At 34.8% G+C, this 17,965-nt stretch overlaps 1 protein-coding gene across 8 annotated transcripts in view; it reads left to right on the top strand.

The window, feature by feature from the left end:
- MALRD1 (MAM and LDL receptor class A domain containing 1) overlaps positions 1–17,965 on the top strand; it is a 687,552-nt gene that overhangs the window by 17,124 nt on the left and 652,463 nt on the right. For 7 of the 8 annotated variants that reach the window (XM_011519453.3, XM_011519455.3, XM_011519454.2 and 4 more), the window contains one exon: positions 2,669–2,809. In XM_011519453.3, coding sequence (XP_011517755.1) covers positions 2,669–2,809 — 141 coding nt within the window. Of the gene's footprint in view, positions 1–2,668; positions 2,810–17,965 lie in introns of those variants that run through there. The other variant, XM_017016182.1, reaches the window with a different exon arrangement.

The following is a 17,965-nucleotide window of genomic DNA, read 5'->3' on the forward strand; positions in this document are numbered from 1 at the left end:
TCTGACAACGTGGAACCCAACTCAGGAGATAATTGCGGCTTCCAAGCAACCTTCCAATCCTCCCTCTGACTGCAGTACATCTGACCTTTGGGATTATAAAATTGAAAACAAAGTGATACGTTGCACAAGTTCAAAAAGTCCAGGAACTTGGATTCCACTGATAAGTTCCTGTATAGCACTCCTAATTGTTCATTATATTGTCCAACTGTGGCGTTATTAATTCAAACTATTTAGTGATGGCTGTAATCTACATTGTGACAGATTTTATTACAGCGGATAGTTTCAGACTTGAATGTGGATGTGTGGCATATGGAGTTAAAAGGTAAACCAGCTACAATTCAAGGAAAATTATTCAAATTGTTTAAAATGTGCAATTCTCTATTGAGGAAAATGAGTATTTGGAAAATTTTCTGATGTATTTTTGAGTCATCTGGCAGTTATTAGAAGTTCAGGATTGCTTTTTTTTTTTGGTAAGAATTAATTGAAAACCTGTGCTCATTAGATTCATTTTATAACAAAAAGAACCCCTGTTGAGACTATTTAGATGAAAAAATGTTTTATTTAGCTATTTTTAGTTGGGCGTGGCAGCACACACCTGTAATCCCAGCTACTCTGGAGGCTGAGGTAGGAGAATCACTTTAACCAGGAGGTGGAGGCTGTGGCAAGCCAAGATTGCACCACTGCACTTCAGCCTGGGCGACAGAAAGAAACTCTGTCTCAAAAAAAAAAAAAAAAAAAAAATTGAGAGGTGAGCTGGTGCTGTTAAACATCCATCTTTTATTTTATTGAATTGTAGCTGCTTCATGCGGAGCAGGACCAACTCATAGGTAGTGCACCTGGAGCCATGCTTGTGGGGTGTTGGCAACTGCAGTTATACCCATTGTTATTTACGTGCAAATTAAGGAGCAGATTAATGCAAATTGAGGGGCAGACTATTTAGAAATCCCTAGAAAAGGGCCGGGTGCGGTTGCTCATGCCTGTAATCCCAGCACTTTGGGAGGCCGAGGCAGGTGGATCACCTGAGGTCAGGAGTTCGAGACCAGCCTGACCAACATGGAGAAACCCCGTCTCTACTAAAAATACAAAATTAGCCAGGCATGTTGGTGCATGCCTGTAATCCCAGCTACTTGGGAGGCTGAGGCAGGAGAATTGCTGGAACCCAGAAGGCAGAGGTTGTGGTGAGCCAAGATCGTGCCATTGGACTCCAGCCTGGGCAACAAGAGCAAAACGCTGTCTCAAAAAAAAAAAAAAAAAAAAAAGGAAGAAAGAAAGAGAAAGAAAGCAAGCGAGAAAGAAAGAAAGAAATCTCTAGAAAGGGAGTGGTAACTTTTGGGTCATTGCTATGGCATTTGGAAACTGTCATGGCACTAGTGGGAGTGTCTTATGCTAATGATCAATGAGAGCAGCTAGGAATTGTTTTTGTAGCTATCTGCTGGTTTCTGCCGGCTTCTTCACTTCATCCCGACTGGACCAGATCCTATTTTGGTCAGCAGAGTTGTGACCAGAGAACAAGTCCTATCATTCCCCTACCTCAAAAGGACCATCTTTACAGTTGCTGAGGAACACAACCTGGGGAGGGACCATTTGTGGTTGAGATCATCTATTTTTAGAATGTGACATTCATAGACATTACATGGGTAGGTATTGTGAACAACCATGTGCTCCAGGTCTTCTGTTTCTCCCTAGTCTCTTGGATCTTGGATCACCCAGAGAAAGAGTCAGAAATGTCTTTATTGTGATTGAAAACACTAAACTTTCCTCAAACACAGATTCAATGATGAGGCGCTGTATTTAATTTCAGGAGTACGTCTCAGCCACTGATGGTTGAGTTTCCATCAGAGGGGTCTCTGTGATCTGATCTGCCCAAACCTGAAATTCTGATATGCCTGCATGGCACGAAGATGGAAGCTGAGTTTTAAGATGTAACCTTAATAATAATTCCTTATATGTTATGGTACCTAAGAGTTGTAAGGTACAATGGTCTCTTGCTATCCATGGATAGCAAGTCTGTGATATAAAATGATGTATTTGCATATAACCTATACGTATCCTCCTGTATACTTTAAATCATCTTTAGACAATTTACAATACCTCAGACAATGTAAATATTAATACTGTGTAAATAGTTGGTATTCTTTAGGCAATAACAAGAAAAAATCTTTACGCGTTAAGTCCAGATGCAATTTTTTTCTCAAATATTTTTTATCTGCCATTGATTGAATCCAAAGATGAGGAATCCATAGATGCAGAGGGCCAACTGCATTTTTGTATGTATTGTATTATAGATCTTCATAGCAATTGCTTGAGAGACACAGGACAGGATGTTATTGTTCTAATTTTGCAAGTAAAGAAAAGGCTTGCTATGGTTGAATAGTTAAGCTAAGACAGTTAGTTAATAAGAATCAAAATCAGGATTAGGTCCTCAGTCTTCTGATCCTATGTCGTGTGGCATTTTTTCTATTAGAACACACTGTTTTCGTTGTGGTAACTTATTAGAATATTGGATGTATAAAAAGCTTTGCATGAATAAAGTAGACTTAGACTTATAAGGAATAATCTTTATGTTGACTTATGTCATTTGTTGCTAAACTTTATTTTTCTGCTATTGTCTTATTTTTTAAAAAGCTAAACACAGTTGTGAAAACCAACTTTTCTTCTTTCTCATTAGGTTTGAATTATGAAAGATGTGATTTTGAGGATGGTCTCTGTCATATGACTCAAGATCAGAGTCTGCAACCTAGTTGGACAAAGAGAAGTGGGATGATTGGTCTATCACCTCCATTTTATGATCACAATGGTGATGTGTCTGGTAAATGCTTTAAATTTATTTTCTCCCCTCTCTCCCTTCCTCCTTTCCTTCCTTCCCTCCCTTCCTTCTTCGTTCTTTCCCACCTCCCTTTCTTCCGTTCCCCACCACATGTTTAATTAGGGAAGCAGAATCTTGTCTGATATTTACATATTTGTAGTTAAAATGTCTAATTTTATGCATTCTTTAACCAGTTTCAAAATATTTATGATTTTAAAATATCACATCAGATTCTCATAATTGGGTTCCTTGGATTCCAATAGGTCTGCTTAGAGAATAATTGGGATTTTCCAGTTTTTCTTATTCTTTATGGAAATTGTAAAACATAAATGGGACAATATACCTAGATTAATTAGTCAAATTACTTTTATTTTGCTTGGACTGATTTCAGCTCTGTCTGGTACCACTTGTTTAATCAAGTTGACTAGAAAGCTCTGCTGAACTGCTCTCTAGACTTTGAGGTAGCTCTGGAGCCAGAAATTTCTTCATTTATTAACTAATAAACTCCATTCATTCAACATTGCGTACCGGGTGTTTAAGATGTATTAGGGAGCAAAAACGGATTCCATGCCTGCCCTCATCTGATAGGTTTACACGTGGTAGAAAAAGAGGTAACACATTTCCTTGCATAACTAAAAGCTAGTTATTTTTATAAGTGATACTTCCCTCAAACAAATTCAATTAAATGTTAAAATATGGTTTTTGCCCTGGAGGTAATTTGAAACAAGCAAATGTTCAGGCATTGGATGTTAGTTTGGCAGTGTTTTCATAAATATTACACATGCAGATTAGACTCCCTGGTCTGTCCCTCCCTAGCTGTAAAATTTTAAATTAAGTTTTGAGCCTTAGTTTTCACAATTTTAAGAGGGGAAATAATGATGCTAAATTTTTAGGATGGTTATTTTAAGAACTAAATGAAAAATTGTTGATGGAGCTTATAGAAAACCTGGCACTCAAAAATTGATGTTTAGTCCATTTCTGAATAATTTTGGTGTTGCTAATGTTACTTCTATATTGATAAGATGGAGTTTCTTAATTTGTTTGGCTTTAATGTCAAAAATTACTTTTGTTTAGAATTCTTAACCATTTTTAGGAATCAGCCAGTTTTATTACCAAAAAGGGTCCAGCTTCACAAATATAACAAGCACTAACTGCAATATAGGAAACTTTTATTACAGATTTAGTTATGTTAGATGGTGATATTGAATCTTGCTCCCAACCTAACGGCCATTGCAGTCTTACAGATTGCTGATTCCATATGTCTCTCCTTTGTTTCTTTATTTTTACTCAGAAGGCTTTTTACAGCACATATTTATTTACTGTAGACTTTTGTTTGTCGGTGGCTCTTACTGAATTCCTCTTGCTTGCCTCCTTACTGTGGAGTTAAATAGCTTCAGAAGACACTGTGCTTCCCAATTTTCTTCTCTCTCTCTTTCCTTTCTGCCATTTTCCCTCGTTTTTTTTATGCATATTTTTAATTGCCTAGTCAAGAGGTAAAATGGGGCAATTCACACCAAAACTGAGATGTTGTATAGGCAGATACCATAGAACGATGTCATCTGGGTTGACTTAAAATCTCTGGAGTCAGACTAGATGGGTTTGAATCCTAGCCCTGCCAGTCAGCTGGTTTTGTAGTCTCAGTTTCCTTATCTGTAAAACAGAGATAATAATAATGCAAGCTGCATAGGAAAAAGAGACAAAATATTGCCTGCATAACTAATTGAAGGCTGGTAACTTTGGTAATAGTCATGCATCTCTTACAAATACAATTGAATGTTAACATGTAAGTAGTCTCTAGCAATAATTTTAAGTAAGCAAGTGTTCTGGCTGTAGATATTAGCTGTTGGAACATATTTATAGAAAAATGGTCTGAATCCTGTCTTTACTCAAAAATTCTCATTTCATAAGTATTAACCAAATTTTTGATTAACTTACTCTTGAAATGATTTGCCAGTGCTCCAAAATTATATTTTTCATTATGTAACCAATGCCTTGAGTGGCAAGTTTGAGAATCCATTAGAACATTAAAAACATCACTGTTGTCAATATTTGAAGTCTAGTAAAGCTCAGGGAAAGAAGGATTAAAATGTAGTACTGATTTTTAAAAGAATGTAACATTGCATATAGATAAAATAGTAGTACTACAACAAAATCAAATACATCTTTGTAAGGATGGTGAAACTGCCTTTAAAGATGGGAATGCAAATATGAAAGTTTTAAGTAATTCTGGAGTTCAGTTGATATTAAAGGTGAAAAAGGGGTTTTTAAATGTATAATTCACTTTAAGTCTATCAAAGATTAAAAAACAATTTATTTGAAAAATATTTCCCATTATGCCACAGATTATTATTTCCTAATTTGGGCATTTAAAATCAGTTTTAAATGAGGATATTAGAGCTTTTGTTATTCTGATCAATTGTTAGATCTAAAATTCATATATTATGAAACATGTACGCTATTAAACACCATCCGATATTTTTATTTTGTTCTATAGCGTTCACATATATTGGTTCTATAATCTTTATATATTATAAGCCCTACAAATCAATGTTATAATATTTGCTTTAGACAGCATTAAAAATAGATTTAAAAGAAGATATTCTTTTATCATATTTATTATTTGCAGCACTCTTTATTTCTTCTACCTATCTGAGTTTGTCTCTGGTATCATTTCTCTTCAGCTTGAAGAAATTCCTTTAGTATTTCTTGTAGTGCAGTTCTGCTGGTGATAAATTATGTTAGTTTTTCCCCCTGAAAATGTTTTTATTTTGCCTTCATTCTTGAAATGTTTTCCTACTGGATATATATTTTTTCATGGTCTTTTTTTTTCTTTTAGTGCTTTAAAGACATTATTTTGCTGTCTTCACCTAGTTTCTACTGTGATATCCACAATTTCTTTTTTTTTTCTGTGTTTAATATATCTTTGTTGTTTTGATGCTTTCAAAATTCGGTCTTTATTTTTGGATTTCAGCACGAACATTTTAAATTTTATCGTACTTATGTTAACTAAACTTCTTGAATCTGAAATGTACGCCGTCTGCCAATTTTGAAAAGTATTTTGCTCTTGTTTATTCAGGTATTTCTTCTGTCCCATTCTCCCTTTCATTTCCCTTTTGTATTTCAATCATCAGTGTGTTAGTCTGTAAGTCTAACATGCTGTTAGATGAAATCTCCGCATATATTTTGATTTTGTTTTCTGGTTTTCAGCGTGCATAATTTCAATCGATCTATCTTCAAGTTCTGTGATTTTTTTCCCTTGTTACCTTCATTCTACTGATAATCCTATCCAGTGATTTAAAAAGAAATCAAGTACAGATGCTCCTCAAATTATAATAGGATTATGTCTCAATAAATCCATCATAAATTGAAAATGCATTTAATACACCCAACCTACTGAGAACCATAGCTTAGCCTAGCCTACCTGAAACTTGCCAAGAACATACACATTAGCCTACGGTTGGGTCAAATCATCTAACACAAAGCCTATTTCATAGTAAGTATTGAATACCTCCTGTAATTTATTGCATATTGTACTGAAAGTGAAAAATAGAGTGGTTGTGTCCCTCTAAAGATATATCACTTTTTCACCATCATAAAGCAGAAAAATCCTAAGTGGAACCATTGTAAGTCAGGGATTGCCTGCATTGTATTTTTCAATTCTAAAATTTTTAATAGGTTGTTTTAGTTTAAAAAAGTTCTCTGTTACCTTTTCATCCATTTTAAGAATATTTTCCCTTACTTCATTGTGCATAATTACAATGGGAGTTTTAAAATCCTTGCGTGCATCATCTCAGATTTACCTGCTGCTGATTAAATTTTCCCGTGTATGATTATGTTGTCCTAGTTCTTTGTCGTATAATTTTGAATTTTATCCTGGATGTGTGAATGGAGGCTCTGGGATGCATTATATATATTTTTTCAAAGCATGGTGATAATTTGTTTAAGCAGATGATTAAGTTGCATAGACTCAAATGACAAACTTTTTTTTTTTTTTTTTTTTTTTTTTTTTTCCGGAGACACAGTCTGGCTCTGTTGCCCAAGCTGGAGTGTAGTGGTGTGATCTCAGCTCACTACAGCCTCTGCCTCCCAGGTTCAAGCAATTCTCCTGTGTCAGTCTCCTGAGTAGCTGGGATTACAGGCATGTGCCACCACTCCTGGCTAATTTTTGTACTTTTAGTAGAGATGAGGTTCTCCATGTTGGCCAGGTTGGTCTCAAACTCCTGGCCTCAGGTGATCTCCCCGCCTCAGCATCCCAAAGTGGTGGGATTATAGGCGTGAGTCACCAGGTCCAACCTCAAATGACAAACTTTTGCATGCTGTGGGCAGCAGTCAAAATATCAATTCAATTCCTCTAGGCTTAGCTGCTAGAAGGGCTCCCTACACATGCATGTTTCCATTTTGGCCAGAGACTTGGACAGAGATTATTCATAGAACAGGGGGCACTCATTTTTTTTTTTTCTGGCTCTCTTCTTTATAGAATTTCTTTTTTTCTATCATACCTAGCTATTCCAGGCTGCCCTTCGTGGTTTCTCAGGCCCAGGAGAGAGCAGTCCTTCTCTCAGAGTTTTTGCCTTGCACTCCATCTGCAGCTGCAGCTGGACCCTATGTCAAAGGCTGACAGAATTGAATTTGCTGTGATCCCTTCACTTAAGTTCCCTATCCCTTAAAAATAATGCCTCCTCTCTTTATCTCAAAGTCCTCTTGTGGTACCAGCTTATAGATTTTTCTTGTTTTTCTAACGTAATCATTATGTTCATCACTGAGTTTCCCAGCTGAGTGAACACCAGCATCTCCTAAGCTGCTCTATGTTGCCCTTTCTGAAGGGAAACTGAGCCATAATCCATTCCTAAGTAATAGGTAGGCTCTGCTACATACAGGGTGAGTTGGGTTCTTTTATTAAGAAGAAACTGTGAAAGACCAAACATGGAGACAAGAATCCCACATTCTCACTCTCTAGATTACGTTTCTGCAGCCTCTGTCTGAATATCTGTTTATTTTTAAATCAGTGAAAATTTAATGTCCATTTATTCCTTTCTATATTTACTTTGAAAACTCTTTACTGAACATCTGTATTGCTCCGCATGCTCTTCCAGGACCTGAAGATATAAAAGTGAACAAGAATGCAGCTCTTGTCTGTGGTGAACTTGCAATCTGGTGATAGAGACATCAACCGTATACACGTACTTATGATTACATATTAAAAGTTAGAAAAAAGTAACCAGCAACCATTTTCTTATCTGCACGTACACATTTCAAAGCTCACAACGTGACAAGGATACGATGTGTGTGTTTTCCAGATGTTGCTTGGGAGCATCTATACTGTTTGTAATCTGAGAAATTTCCATCGAACAACTCATCTATTCCAGGCATCTGCATGCTCTTCATTGAAAGGGCTGATAGCAAATATTTTAGGCTTTTTGGGCCATATGGTCCATGTCCCAAAAACTCAACTCTGCCGTCTACACTATAAAAACAGTCATATATACAAAATACATAAAGCATGGCTGTGTTATGTTAACCTTTTATTTATGAACATGGAAATGTATAATTAATATCATTGTTACATGTTTAAAAATATTTATTTTTTTGAATTTTTTAATGATTTAAACAGGTAAAAACCCTTCTTAACTCATAGGATATGCAAAATTAGGTGGCAGGTGGATTTGTCTGTGGGTTACAGTTTGCTGCCCCCGTGTCTGTTCAATATAAACATTAATTGAGCATTTTATATCTGACACTATTCAATATTGGACATAAATGAATAAAGAATATAATTCTTCCTCTAAGAACACAGATACATTATAATCTTAATTTTAGTGCCCAGTGTTCACATTTATAGCAAACAAAAGTGAAGCAAACTTTATTTCTGTATCAGAATCAGCTTTATTATGCTATTATTTAAACATGTATCTGAACTTTCAATTAAGGGGGAAATTTTTTTATAGTAGTCAATCCTCTTTCTTTAAAATAAATACTTTTAGTACTTATTTGTACTGAGAGTACAAACAAGATGTGTTAACGAAATGGAATTACAGTGTCTTTTTTTCACTTACCTTCCCCCCCTTTTTTTTCTGGTTAGACAGAGTCTCACTCTGTCACTCAGGATGGAGTGCAGTGGCATGATCTCATCTTACTGCAACCTCCCCCTCCTGGATTCAAGCAATTCTCCTGCCTCAGGCCCTTGAGTAGCTGGGATTACAGGCATGTGCCACCATGCCCGGCTAATCCTTATATTTTTATTAGAGATGGGATTTCACCATGTTGGCCAGACTGGTCTTGAACTCCTGACCTCAAGTGATCTGCCCACCTTGGCCTCCCGAAGTGCTGGAATTACAGGCGTGAGCCACCACACCAGGCCTCTTAACCCATTTTTAATATGGTAGTTGTGTTATTTTAAAAGTAAAAATATTAAAATAAAAATGTATTATAAATGTATATTTATGTTGTTAGATTTATATATGCTGATTATTATTGTTAATTTTAATGCAAAAGCTTTTATTAATTCCAGTGTGTAAGACATCATGATAATGTTGTTAAGATAATAAAGACTGCAGGTTTATCATCCCTTATCCAAAAATCTGAAATCCAAAGTGCTCCGAAATTGGAAACTTTTTGAGGGCAAATATGATGCCACAAATGGAAAATTCCACACCTGACGCCTTTGGTTTCTGATGGTTTAATGTGCAGAGACTTTGTTTTATGCACAAAATTATTTTAAAACCTTGTACAAAATTACCTTCAGGTTATGTGAATAAGGTGTATATGAAACATAAATGAATTTTATGTTTAGACTTGTGTCCCATCTCTAATGCATGTGCAAATATTTCAAAATGTGAAAAAATCTGAAATCCAAAACACTTCTGGTCCCAAGCATTTTAGGTAAGAGATACTGAACCTGTATTAAGTTACAGGCTATATATCAAGGTGTTTGTGATCTCTTTGAGACACATGTTTGGGAATAAAACAATTACTTATTGGAAGAAAGAAAAGGGTACAAAATTTGGGTTTGAATAAATTTCTCTGAGACTAGAGACAAACTCTGACTCCAGAAAGCGAAAGAGCATTTGAGAAAATAGTTGAAAGATGAGCAGTATTTCAATGGATGGAGAGATGAGAGAAATGGTATTTCAAATGGAAAGAACCACATAAGGACCAGGTGGAGATAGTTGCTGTGCTCAGGCGATGACACAGAAGTCTACTATGACTAGAAATGACTGGAAACAAAGAAGATAGGCTAACAGTGTATGTTGTGAATGTCAAGAATTATGTCCTCCAAAGGTTACTAATTTTTCTCACCTGAACTGTTTCCTTGCCTTCTTTTTCTTCCTATACCCAAACTCCTTCACAGTTGACAATCCTATTTCTGCCACTGTCCAACCAGGCAGCAGAAATGAGAGACATTGATGGATGTTATGGCAGTGGTTGAGGAATAGTGTAAGGAATTTCAAGGGCATGCATATTTGGTGCTTAATGATTCCTTATGTCTCAAGCAGTATTTTCCAGAGAGCTTTAGTTTCTTGCACAAATTCTTTCATTGTTAAGCTAATAATGCCAAGGTCCTTGATGTCTGTGTGTTTGTGTGTGTGCATGAATTTGAAATGGGTGAACTATATGAGATTTTCATAGTCACTCAACAATCTTGACATCTTTTGTGTATTGGATAATATATTTGTTCTATTTTTCCATTTATTTCAAATTCAGAGTTATATGTCAGTGATGGAATCATAGTTGACAACTTAGATACTTATTTGAATTAACTGATAGATATCAACAAAATTTTGCAATGGAATATTAATAGTCAAGCTGTCAGATATCTTAGAGTATTGATGAGAGCTAAAAATGATACATTCTCTAATTTCTCTATTGAAAAATAGAAATATTTTTCTATGCATCATTTGCTTTTCATTTGGCAGCAAATTTATTTTTATAGGCAGATGGCTTGATTATTTGTTAAATTTATAGATGGATATATTCTTCAAATTAATTTAGACACAATTGAAAAAATTCACGCTCAACAGAAGTACATAAAAATCCTATAATAGTGTATTAAAATAAATATACAAATTTCAAAAGATACATCTTTTGAACCATGATCATTTGACTGAGATTCTGTCAAATGAGGGTGACCATGATATTTTACTAATGAAATTGGTTTGAACATACCCAGTAGATGTCAATTTTCTGCATATGAACTCTGGGAACTATGATGAACGCTCACTTTGATTTTAAGTATCTTTCAAGTGAATTAATCCAGGAAGTTTAAAGAGACTCAAACTACTTTAGGCTTTACAGATTTTGATCAATACCGTGGAATATTGCAAATGGAAAAAGAGAATCAAATTATTGTCTACCTAATTGTGGCAGGCAGATGATAAAATCTGCCCCCGTCCCCAATTTCCTATCCTCTGGTTATTCAATCAAAGACTAATCTGGCCACAGCTATGAAGAGATTTTGTAAATGGGTTACTAATCAACTGACTTCAAAATCGCAAGATTATCTTGGACTGTTCAAGTGGGCTCAGTGTAATCACATGAGCCCTTAAAAGCAGAAGTGGAAGGCAGGAGAGCTAAGGCAGAAGGCAAGATTAGAGAGATTTAAAGTTTGAGGACTTGACCTCATTGCTGGCTTTGGAAATGAAGAAAGGGGATCACAAGAAAGTAATACAGGGGCCTCTAAAAGTGGAGAACAATCACTGGTTAACAGCCAGCAAAGACGCAGGGATCTCAGTCTTAGGGCTGTGTGGAATTGAATTCTTAGGGATGCATGGAATTGAATTCTGCCAACCACTTCAATGAGCTTGAAAGCCTATTCATCCTCAGGGCCTTCAGAAAGGAGTACAGACAACCCTCACTTCCATTTCAGCCTTTTATGCGTCTAAGCAAAGAACCAGCTAAGCCACACCGTGCTGGGACTTCTGACTTACAGAAGCTGTGAGATAATACATTTGTGTTGTTTTAAGCCACTAGGTGTGTAGTAACTTGTTATGGAAGCAATAGAAAATGAGTTCACTAATTTTCAAAGTTTTTAGGGGAAGAAAGGTTTATATTTTCTTGATTGTCTATTCTTGCTAATAACGAACATTTGCAGTGAGTAAAATCTCCGTTTTACTAGGTAAAGAGGAACAATTCTAAAAGTCGTCTGGAGACCTGGATTCCCCTTAAACACTAATTAATGGTATGATTTGGGGGAAAATCCCTGGGCTTTCCTTTTTCTCTTTTACATGGTTCCAGTTCCTCCAGTTTTTCATTTATGTGTTTAACTTTTTTATTCTTACCCCGATTTTCATTGCTTCCCTTTAGATCATGCCAAAAATTAAGGATCTGTCTTCCATTAATGCCACTTGCCCCTACTGTCCTAGCCTGTGTAATTTTGATAAAGTCAAATTTAATTATCTATATAGCCATCATCTATCTATCTATCTATCATCTATCTATCTACCTATCTTCCATCTATCTATGTACTTACTTATTTATTTATTTACTTCTTCATATGGATGCTCTTGTTTTAGGTGTTACATTTAAGAAACCATTGCCTAATCCAAGGTCATAGACTTACACTTACAGTTCCCTGTAAGAGTTTATATCTTATACTTAGGTCTTTAATCCATCTTTAGTTAATTTTAATATGTTATGAGGTATCCACTTTTGCATGTACCTATCCAGTTGTCTGAGCACCATATATTGAAAAGTCTACACTTTCCTCACTGAATTATCTTAACACGGTCAAAATTCATAGATGCGTTGGTTTACTTTTGAACTCTCAATGCGATTGCATTGATCTTTCTGCCTGTGCTTATGACAGTACCACACTATCTTCTTGATTACTGCAGCCTTGTACTGTAGTTTGAAAGGAAGTTACTAGGGAAGAGTAAGTCTTATAATTTTGTTATTTTCTTTCAGGAGTTTTTTGTCTATTCTGTGTTTCTTCCATTTCCATATGTATTTTAGTATTAATTTGCAAATTTCTGCAAAAATGGTGGTTGGAATTTTGAGAGGAATTGCATTGAATTGGTAGATCAATTTGGTAACTACTGTCATCTGAACAATATTAAGTTTTCCAGGCTATCATGCATCATGTCTTTCCATTTACTTAGGTCTTCTTTGATTTCTTTCAACATTGTATTTTTAAATTTTTATTGTACAAATCTTGATTTTTACTCATTAAAGTTATTCCTAAGTCTTTTATTGTTTTTGAGGCAACTTTAAATGAGATTTTTTCTTGATTTTATTTTAGATTGTTCCTTGCCAGTGTATAGAAATGAAACTGGTTTTTGTATATTGATTTTATATCCTATATACTTACCAACTTTTACTTTTTACATCATTTATTTTCAGTGACAAAAGTTATTAAGTGACAATCCATTATACTCTCATCTAAGGACTGAGTCAATGTTTTATCTAATTCTGTAGGTTTACAGAATTTGTGTTTTGCTTAGGAAACCCTGCTAAACATAAAGCCTGGTAATCTGTCACAAACCAGTGTGTTTATATGTGTTTTTAAAATTCCTTTAGGTTAACAAAAAGAAATGTCTGCCATTTTTTTCATAGTGCACACCCATTTCAGGCCAAGGCATTTGAGAAATCTCAATAATAGAGACAGTCAGGAGGAAACTATTTTAAGTATTGAGAAATTATTAATGCTGACCCTAAAGGGTGCCCTGATTCAAGAGTTTGGAGTTCTGAATCATCATGTTTAGAAAAGAACACTAGAGAGGGACAATTTTCAAACAAGATGATATGGATACTTTCTAACAGGTGTCTGAAGTGCTTGTTTTTACAGTAGACTCTAAATCTACTATAAATCTAAATACACTAAATATAGTATACTTAATAGGTATTGTAGAGTAACTGATGACCTGCTGGAGTGACACATCAGTTAAGGGTTCCCGCTCCAGATTCAGACAGGTACAGATTTCTTCCCAGCTCCTCTACCACCTACCAGTTGTTTAACCTTGTTAACTGATTTTTACATTAGTTAAGTCTTAGTTTTTTCATTTATAAACTGAGAGATGATGACAATGATAATAAAATTCACTTAATTATACTATTTTCTAAGTCGTGCATTGTTTTCATTCTTCAAACCTCAAAGCAAAACTCATAAAGTAATTTTATTTCCCTTCTTACATGAAAACATATTTGTAGTTCTTGATGCTATTATTATGAAGATTTAATGAGATAATTCATAAAAGTTGCTAGCAAAAAAAATGGTGCATAGTAAATCGTTAATAAACGTCAGCTATTATCATTAGGATTTAAATTTTTTTTATTTTTTTTGAATTTTACATTTTATTTATTTATTCATTTTTTATTATACTTTAAGTTCTAGGGTACATGTGCACAACGTGCAGGTTTGTTACATATGTATACATGTGCCATGTTGGTGTGCTGCACCCATTCACTTTTATTATAAGAGAGTGTTAAGACTTTGTCATATCTTTTTTTGCATCTATTGACATGGTCGTTTGTTTTTTGTTCTTTACTTGATCAATATGGTGTTTGTATTGATTGATTTTTATGTGTTGAACCAATTTTGCATTCCTAGGATAAATTCCGCTTGACCATGGCGAAAAATTTTTAAAATGTGTTGCTTGATGTATATTCATCAGTTATGTTGTTCTCTTGTTTGCTTTTCTTGTGATGTCTTTGTCTGGTTTTGGTTTATTAAGGTAATCGTGGCCTTATAGAATGAGTTGGGAAGTGTTTCTTCCTCTTTTGTTTTTTATAAGAGTTTGTGAAGTATTAGTGTTAATCATTTAAATGTTTCGTATAATTTACTAGTAAGCCTTTTGTGCTGGAGCATTTGTTTGTGGAAAGATTTTTGATTACTGATTTACTCTCTTGTTACAATCTATTTGGATTTTTTATTTCTTCTTGAATTGGCTTTGGTAGTTTGTGTCTTTCTGGATATTTGTCCATCTCTTCTAGGTTATCTAATTTGGTAGTATGAAATTATTCATAGTATTCCCTTGTAATTCTTTTTATTTATGTAAGGTTAGAAGTTCTGAACCTTGTTCACTCTTCATTTTAGTAAATTGAGTTTTTAATTTTATTTTTTCTTGGTTCATCTAGTGAAAAGTTTGTCAGTTTTATTGATCTTTCCAGGAACTTTTGTTTCTTAATTTTTTTATTGTTTTTGTATTTTCTATTTTATTTATTTCTTCTCTAATTTTCCTCCTCTGCTTGCTTTGGGTTTAGTTTTCTCTTCCTTTAGCTTCTTATTATTAATGTTGAGATCTTTCCTTGTTTAAATTTAGGCATTTACAGCTATACATTTCTTACCAAGCACTGAAATAACTGCATCCCAACCATTTTTATATGTTGAATTTTTATTTTCATTTATTTAAGGTATTTTCTAACATCTCTTGTGATTTCTTCTTTAGCCTATTGGTTATTTAGGAGACTATTATTTAATTCTACGTATTTGTGAATTTTTCTGATTTCATTCTGTTATTAATTTAAATCATTCTGTTATACCTGGAGAACATACTTGTATGATTTGTATGCTCTTAAATATATTCAGATTTGTTTTCTGACCTAAAATATTATCTCTCTTGGAGAATGTTCTGTGTGTAGTTTAGAAGCATGTGCATTCTTTTGTTGTTGGGTGGAGCAAGTGTGCCATATGTATCTGTTAGGTCTAGTTGGTTTATAGAATTGCTCAAGTTTTCTATTTTCTTGCTGATCTTCTATCAAATAGTTCTATTTATTTTTGAAGGTAGAATATTAGAGTCTCCAACTATTATTGTTAAATGGTCTACATTTCAATTATTTTAGCTTTTGCTTCACATATTTCAGGGCTCTGTTTTTACGTGCAGAGATGTTTATAGTTTTTATATATTCTTGATTGGTTGACCCATTTGTCATTATAAAATGCCCTGCTTTGTCTCCAATAAGAATTCTGTCTTCTGTCCAGGGTAATCAGGCAAGAGAAAGAAAGAAAGCATATTAGTCTAGGAAGAGAGGAAGTCAAATTATCTTTGTTTGCAGCGGACATGATCCTATATCTAGAAAACCCCATTGTCTCAGCCCAAAAGCTCCTTAAGCTGATAAGCAACTTCAGCAATCTCAGGATGCAAAATCAGTGTGCAAAAATTGCTAGCACTCCTATATGCCAACATCTGGCAAGTAGAGAACCAAATTATGAATGAACTTCCATTCACAGTTGCTACAAAGAGAATAAAACACTGAAGAATATAGTTAACAAGGGAAATGAAGGACCTCTTCAAGGAGAGCTACAAACTACTGCTGAAAGAAATCAGAGAAGACACAAAGAAATGGAAAAACATTCCATGCTCATGGGTAGGAGGATGCAGTATTGTAAAAATGGCCATACTGACCAAAGTAATTTATAGATTTAATGCTATTCCCATTAAACTACCATTGGCATTCTTCACAAAATTGGAAGGAACTATTTTAAAATTAGTATATAACCCAAAAGAGGTCTCATAGCCAAGACACTCCTAAACAAAAAGAACAAAACTGGAGGCATCATGCTACCCAACTTCAAACTATACTACAAGGCTACAGTAACCCAAACAGCATGGTACTGGTTCAGAAACAGACACATAGACAAATGGAACATAATAGAGAACTCAGAATTAAGACCCCACATCTACAACCATCTGAACTTTGACAAACCTGACAAAAACAAGCTATGGGGAAAGGATTCCCTATTTAACAAATGGTGCTGGGAGAACTGGCTACCCATATGCAAAAAATTGAAACTGGACCCCTTCCTTACACCTTATACAAAAATTAATTCAAGATGGACTAAAGACTTACATGTAAAACCTAAAACTATAAACATTCTAGAAGGAAATCCAGGCAATAACATTCATGACATAGACACAAGCAGAGATTTCATGATGAAAGCACTGAAAGCAATAGCACCAAAAGCAAAAAATGACAAATAGGATCTAATTAAACTAAAGAGATTCTGCACAGCAAAAGAAACTATCATCAGAGTGAACAGAAAACCTACAGAATGGGAGAAAATGTTTTCAGTCTATTTATCCAGCAAAGGTCAAATATCCAGAGTCTGCCAGAAACTTAAATTTTCAGGAAAAAAACAAACAACCCCATTAAAAAGTGGGCAAAGGACATGAACAGACACTTCTCAAAGAAAACATTCGTGTGGCCCACAAACATATGAAAAAAACCTCAACATCATTGATTAGTAGAGAAATGCAAATCAAAACCACAATGAGATTACCATCTCACACCAGTCAGAATAGCGATTATTAAAAAGTCAGGAAACAACAGATGCTAGCCAGGATGCAGAGAAAAAGGAATGCTTTACATAGTGGGTGAGAATGTAAATTAGTTCAACCATTGTGGAAGACAGTGTGGCAATTCCTCAAAGATCTAGAACTGGAAATACCATTTGATTCAGCAATCCCATTACTGGGTATATAACCAAATAAATATAAACGATTCTATTATAAAGACACATACATGCGTATGTTCATTGGAGCACTGTTCACAATAGCAAAGACATGGAACTAACCCAAATGCCCATCAATGATAGACCGGATAAAGCAAATGTGGTACATATACACCATGGAATTTTATGCAGCCATAAAAAGGAATGAGATCATGTCCTTTGCAGGGACACGGATAAAGCTGGAAACTGTTATCCTCAGCAAACTAGTGCTGGAACAGAAAACCAAATACCACATGTTCTCACTTATAAGTGGGAACTGAATGATGAGAACACAGGGACACATGGCAGGGAACAACAGACACTGGGACCTGTCAGGAGGGGAGAGGGGAGGTAGAGCATCAGGAAGAATACCTAATGGATGCTGGGCTTAATACCTGGGTGATGGATTGATCTGTGCAGCAAACCACCGTGGCACACGTTTACCTGTGTAACAAACCTGCACATCCTGCATGTGTACCCCAGAACTTAAAATAAAAGTTGAAAAGAAAGAAAATCATCCTTCTGAATTTCATATAGCGATTTCAGCTTTCTTTTGGTTATTGTTTTTATAGTATGTCTTTTATACCCTTTTACTTTTAACCTTTTTCTGTAGTTGAACCTAAAATGTGTCTCTTGTAGACAGCATATGGTTAGATCATGTTTTTATACAATATGCCAACTTCTTACTTTTGATTTAAGAATTTAATCTATTTGCATATTATATAATTATGATTATA

The sequence above is a fragment of the Homo sapiens genome, chromosome 10 (genome assembly GCF_000001405.40).
Source record: "Homo sapiens chromosome 10, GRCh38.p14 Primary Assembly".
NCBI classification, from domain to species: domain Eukaryota; kingdom Metazoa; phylum Chordata; class Mammalia; order Primates; family Hominidae; genus Homo; species Homo sapiens.